Genomic DNA, 6,752 nt, shown 5'->3' on the forward strand with positions numbered 1-6,752 from the left:
GGTTTGGACAAAGTACACCCCACCCCCAGCCCGCCGCCGGCTAGGTACCCCTGACGCAACCTCCCCTGCACCCAGCCAAAACCCAGTCCCGTTGGCTCCCTGACATCCGTGGCAGCCAAAAGATTCGGTGCTAGAAGGCACTTTCCCCAGGAGCGGAGGAACCGGTTGGCCCTCAAGAATCAGAGAGGAAGTGCAGGTGGGATGCAACACCGCCTTTCCTAGAAGGCCAATGTCAGGAGCGGTGGGCTTGCCTCCGCCTCTTCCTGGACCGAGCGTGCAGCCATCACTTGGGCCATGGAGACCGAGAGAGCTTCCCTGTCCCACACAGGTATGGAAGCCCAGAGCTCCAAGATCACCACAGCTGCCCAATCATCCAGAAAGAGGTGTGGAGAGGGAAACAATCATGACGCGGACCGCCACGAGGTTTCTCCCTGATGGACGGGGAAGTCTTCTTTGTGGAAGACACTGAGCCACACTAAGAAGCCGCCAGGCTTCTCAGAGACGGGGCAGACACAGCAAGAGGGAGGTCAGAGCAGACGCCAGAGCACAGGCAGGATACGGGGGGACCATGCCACCACCACCGGCATCCGGGGAGGAGTGTCAAACGGGTGACTCGGCCAGGAAGGCCAGCCTTTGAGAGACAGACATGCTTGCCGCCCCATCCCCTTGCCGGCTTCCTTCTCCGTCCCTGCGTCTAGCTGTGGCTACATTTCTCGATGAGGGCAGAGGGCGACAGGCGTGACAACCACCTTCTTGAAGCTCTGCGGGCACCCTCCTGCGGGTGGACAATGAGCGCCTGGGAGGCCGTTGTCCTTGGTTGGGGAGCGCTCGTCTGGATCCAGCCTAGCAAAGAGGCTGCTCCGGATGGGGAGGGGATGAAAACCCTGCGGGTCCGACGCCCATGCCCACGTTGCCCAGGCCTTCACAGACCCCCAAACTGGAACCGCCGGGACGACGACTGCCAACCGGCCACACGACCCAGGCAGAGACGCGGGGACACGCTGACCAGAAGAAAGGCCGACGTGCAAGAAACCCACCCTCCGGCGCACAGGGCCCATGTGTCCCAAGGCGCACGCACACACAGACGGACAGAGACAGAAAGAGAGGGCGACCGAAAGAGCGAGAAGGGAGAGAGACAGAGAGAGAGAGAGAGAGAGAGAGACGTGAGAGAGAGACAGAAGTCGGCACACAGACACGCACTGCGCGCGCACACACACAGACACACACACAGACGCATCCCCCCAACACACACACACACACACCCATAACGAACACACACGTACAGCAGGGAACACCCACCCGCAGGCAGCCCCTGAAGGTGCCGGGTTCTGCTCTCCGCGACTAAGAGCCACCGGTGAGAGAGCAGCCCACGGGCACACAGGCGGACCTGTGCTCGTCATCACAAGGGCTCCACTTTTGGGGAGACTCACCCGCACACCGTCCGCGCACGCCTGAGGCTGGGATGCCGCGCTGCCTCGCCGGCGATCTGTCTGAGTTTTCTTCCTCCTGGGGTTTCTTCCTGCTGGTGGACCCTCCGCGAATCCCGGCCTCCGGAGACCGTCCTGGTAAATGCCCTGGCCAGGACTGGTCTCAGCCCAGACTCAGACGCACGATCACACAGGGCTCCTACTTCGCCAAGTGTCAGGGACCCATCCCCGGGCAACGGTGGCTTTCACTGTGACCCAAGCGGCGGCTTGGGCCTCGCGCATGCGCACTGGCGAGGCCGACTCCCCCGCTCCACCCCCCCTTACTCCGCAGAGTCAGGCTGCGGACCCTTTAAAAAATGGCGGCGACGCGGCGGCTGCGGGGCCTGGGGCGGCGGTGCTGGAGGTTGCGGTGGCGGCGGTGGCGGCGCAGCCCGAGGCGGCGGGTGGGAAGAGGACTGCCAGAGGGGCCTGCGGGAGACCCAGGGTCGGACCCATAGGAGTCCTGTGGTGAGGACCTCCTTGATCGCTCTTCTGCTTCGGTTCCCGCTGAAGGAGGAGCTTCGGGATGCCGGCTGGGCTGCGCGGACTCCTCTTGGGGTCCGATGATGGATCCAACCGGGTGATCGGGAATGGGGTTCCAATGCAGTGAGGCCGAAAGGGTCTCGCCGGGGCACAGAAAGATCCCCAGGGCCGCAAGGCGTGCTGTCGGCTGCAAAGGCACCGACCCATGAGCCCACTGCCTCCCTCCCTCCTGGCAGGAGCAGGGGCCTGCCTTCATCTCCAAGGCCCGAGGGCTCCGGCATCCCGACGCGGCTTCCGGCGACACGGGCAAAGAGAGACAGAGGCGAGTCCGAGCTGGAGCCAGCGTGTCCACATGTGGCACTGTCGTCCCCCAAGAGCACATGCAGGCAGCGTGTGTCTTTGAGGCCGTAGGGGGCGACGACGAGACGGACAGTGATGTCCAGGCGTGCGCCCGGGGGGCCACTGGAGACCTGCCCCACAAAGCGGAGGAAAAGCCAAGCGCACCTGAAAACCTGCGAGACAGGGCCTGTGCGCGAGTCCACGCCACGTTCAGGGAGGCCCGCCAGAGGAGCCGAGAGGTTTGGACAAAGTACACCCCACCCCCAGCCCGCCGCCGGCTAGGTACCCCTGACGCAACCTCCCCTGCACCCAGCCAAAACCCAGTCCCGTTGGCTCCCTGACATCCGTGGCAGCCAAAAGATTCGGTGCTAGAAGGCACTTTCCCCAGGAGCGGAGGAACCGGTTGGCCCTCAAGAATCAGAGAGGAAGTGCAGGTGGGATGCAACACCGCCTTTCCTAGAAGGCCAATGTCAGGAGCGGTGGGCTTGCCTCCGCCTCTTCCTGGACCGAGCGTGCAGCCATCACTTGGGCCATGGAGACCGAGAGAGCTTCCCTGTCCCACACAGGTATGGAAGCCCAGAGCTCCAGGATCACCACAGCTGCCCAATCATCCAGAAAGAGGTGTGGAGAGGGAAACAATCATGACGCGGACCGCCACGAGGTTTCTCCCTGATGGACGGGGAAGTCTTGTTTGTGGAAGACACTGAGCCACGCTAAGAAGCCGCCAGGCTTCTCAGAGACGGGGCAGACACAGCAAGAGGGAGGTCAGAGCAGAGGCCAGAGCCCAGGCAGGATACGGGGGGGCCATGCCACCACCACCGGCATCCGGGGAGGAGTGTCAAACGGGTGACTCGGCCAGGAAGGCCAGCCTTTGAGAGACAGACATGCTTGCCCCATCCCCTTGCCGGCTTCCTTCTCCGTCCCTGCGTCGAGCTGTGGCTACATTTCTCGATGAGGGCAGAGGGCGACAGGCGTGACAACCACCTTCTTGAAGCTCTGCGGGCACCCTCCTGCGGGTGGACAATGAGCGCCTGGGAGGCCGTTGTCCTTGGTTGGGGAGCGCTCGTCTGGATCCAGCCTAGCAAAGAGGCTGCTCCGGATGGGGAGGGGATGAAAACCCCTGCGGGTTCGACGCCGATGCCCACGTTGCCCAGGCCTTCACAGACCCCCAAACTGGAACTGCCGGGACGACGACTGCCAACCGGCCACACGACCCAGGCAGAGACGCGGGGACACGCTGACCAGAAGAAAGGCCGACGTGCAAGAAACCCACCCTCCGGCGCACAGGGCACATGTGTCCCAAGGCGCACGCACACACAGACGGACAGAGACAGACAGAGAGGGCGACGGAAACAGCGAGAAGGGAGAGAGAGAGAGAGAGAGACAGAGAGACAGAGAGAGACGTGAGAGAGAGACAGAAGTCGGCACACAGACACGCACTGCGCGCGCACACACACAGACACACACACAGACGCACCCCCCCAACACACACACACACACCCATAACGAACACACACGTACAGCAGGGAACACCCACCCGCAGGCAGCCCCTGAAGCTGCCGGGTTCTGCTCTCCGAGACTAAGAGCCACCGGTGAGAGAGCAGCCCACGGGCACACAGGCGGACCTGTGCTCGTCATCACAAGGGCTCCACTTTTGGGGAGACTCACCCGCACACCGTCCGCGCACGCCTGAGGCTGGGATCCCGCGCTGCCTCGCCGGCGATCTGTCTGAGGTTTCTTCCTCTTGGGGTTTCTTCCTGCTGGTGGACCCTCCGCGAATCCCGGCCTCCGGAGACCGTCCTGGTAACTGCCCTGGCCAGGACTGGTCTCAGCCCAGACTCAGACGCACGATCACACAGGGCTCCTACTTCGCCAAGTGTCAGGGACCCATCCCCGGGCAACGGTGGCTTTCACTGTGACCCAAGCGGCGGCTTGGGCCTCGCGCATGCGCACTGGCGAGGCCGACTCCCCCGCTCCACCCCCCCTTACTCCGCAGAGTCAGGCTGCGGACCCTTTAAAAAATGGCGGCGACGCGGCGGCTGCGGGGCCTGGGGCGGCGGTGCTGGAGGTTGCGGCGGCGGCGGTGGCGGCGCAGCCCGAGGCGGCGGGTGGGAAGAGGACTGCCAGAGGGGCCTGCGGGAGACCCAGGGTCGGACCCATAGGAGTCCTGTGGTGAGGACCTCCTTGATCGCTCTTCTGCTTCGGTTCCCGCGAAAGGAGGAGCTTCGGGATGCCGGCTGGGCTGCGCGGACTCCTCTTGGGGTCCGATGATGGATCCAACCGGGTGATCGGGAATGGGGTTCCAATGCAGTGAGGCCGAAAGGGTCTCGCCGGGGCACAGAAAGATCCCCAGGGCGCAAGGCGTGCTGTCGGCTGCAAAGGCACCGACCCATGAGCCCACTGCCTCCCTCCCTCCTGGCAGGAGCAGGGGCCTGCCTTCATCTCCAAGGCCCGAGGGCTCCAGCATCCCGACGCGGCTTCCGGCGACACGGGCAAAGAGAGACAGAGGCGAGTCCGAGCTGGTGCCAGCGTGTCCACATGTGGCACTGTCGTCCCCCAAGAGCACATGCAGGCAGCGTGTGTCTTTGAGGCCGTAGGGGGCGACGACGAGACGGACAGTGATGTCCAGGCGTGCGCCCGGGGGGCCACTGGAGACCTGCCCCACAAAGCGGAGGAAAAGCCAAGCGCACCTGAAAACCTGCGAGACAGGGCCTGTGCGCGAGTCCACGCCACGTTCAGGGAGGCCCGCCAGAGGAGCCGAGAGGTTTGGACAAAGTACACCCCACCCCCAGCCCGCCGCCGGCTAGGTACCCCTGACGCAACCTCCCCTGCACCCAGCCAAAACCCAGTCCCGTTGGCTCCCTGACATCCGTGGCAGCCAAAAGATTCGGTGCTAGAAGGCACTTTCCCCAGGAGCGGAGGAACCGGTTGGCCCTCAAGAATCAGAGAGGAAGTGCAGGTGGGATGCAACACCGCCTTTCCTAGAAGGCCAATGTCAGGAGCGGTGGGCTTGCCTCCGCCTCTTCCTGGACCGAGCGTGCAGCCATCACTTGGGCCATGGAGACCGAGAGAGCTTCCCTGTCCCACACAGGTATGGAAGCCCAGAGCTCCAGGATCACCACAGCTGCCCAGTCATCCAGAAAGAGGTGTGGAGAGGGAAACAATCATGACGCGGACCGCCACGAGGTTTCTCCCTGATGGACGGGGAAGTCTTCTTTGTGGAAGACACTGAGCCACGCTAAGAAGCCGCCAGGCTTCTCAGAGACGGGGCAGACACAGCAAGAGGGAGGTCAGAGCAGAGGCCAGAGCCCAGGCAGGATACGGGGGGGCCATGCCACCACCACCGGCATCCGGGGAGGAGTGTCAAACGGGTGACTCGGCCAGGAAGGCCAGCCTTTGAGAGACAGACATGCTTGCCCCATCCCCTTGCCGGCTTCCTTCTCCGTCCCTGCGTCGAGCTGTGGCTACATTTCTCGATGAGGGCAGAGGGCGACAGGCGTGACAACCGCCTTCTTGAAGCTCTGCGGGCACCCTCCTGCGGGTGGACAATGAGCGCCTGGGAGGCCGTTGTCCTTGGTTGGGGAGCGCTCGTCTGGATCCAGCCTAGCAAAGAGGCTGCTCCGGATGGGGAGGGGATGAAAACCCCTGCGGGTTCGACGCCGATGCCCACGTTGCCCAGGCCTTCACAGACCCCCAAACTGGAACTGCCGGGACGACGACTGCCAACCGGCCACACGACCCAGGCAGAGACGCGGGGAGAGGCTGACCAGAAGAAAGGCCGACGTGCAAGAAACCCACCCTCCGGCGTACAGGGCACATGTGTCCCAAGGCGCACGCACACACAGACGGACAGAGATAGAAAGAGAGGGCGACGGAAACAGCGAGAAGGGAGAGAGAGAGAGAGAGAGAGAGAGAGAGACAGAGAGAGACGTGAGAGAGAGACAGAAGTCGGCACACAGACACGCACTGCGCGCGCACACACACAGACACACACACAGACGCACCCCCCCAACACACACACACACACCCATAACGAACACACACGTACAGCTGGGAACACCCACCCGCAGGCAGCCCCTGAAGCTGCCGGGTTCTGCTCTCCGAGACTAAGAGCCACCGGTGAGAGAGCAGCCCACGGGCACACAGGCGGACCTGTGCTCGTCATCACAAGGGCTCCACTTTTGGGGAGACTCACCCGCACACCGTCCGCGCACGCCTGAGGCTGGGATCCCGCGCTGCCTCGCCGGCGATCTGTCTGAGGTTTCTTCCTCTTGGGGTTTCTTCCTGCTGGTGGACCCTCCGCGAATCCCGGCCTCCGGAGACCGTCCTGGTAACTGCCCTGGCCAGGACTGGTCTCAGCCCAGACTCAGACGCACGATCACACAGGGCTCCTACTTCGCCAAGTGTCAGGGACCCATCCCCGGGCAACGGTGGCTTTCACTGTGACCCAAGCGGCGGCTTGGG

The 6,752-nt window shown here is 63.7% G+C and overlaps 1 annotated feature.

Annotated features, from left to right (window-relative positions):
- Positions 4,461-4,972: an enhancer, noted in NCBI's record as "H3K27ac-H3K4me1 hESC enhancer chr19:37787960-37788471 (GRCh37/hg19 assembly coordinates)". NCBI's record gives its function as "activates a minimal SCP1, AML or CMV promoter by ChIP-STARR-seq in naive H9 embryonic stem cells {active_cell/tissue: H9 hESC(naive)}" and the evidence as "EXISTENCE:reporter gene assay evidence [ECO:0000049][PMID:30033119]".

Source organism: Homo sapiens, chromosome 19, assembly GCF_000001405.40.
Source record: "Homo sapiens chromosome 19, GRCh38.p14 Primary Assembly".
NCBI classification, from domain to species: domain Eukaryota; kingdom Metazoa; phylum Chordata; class Mammalia; order Primates; family Hominidae; genus Homo; species Homo sapiens.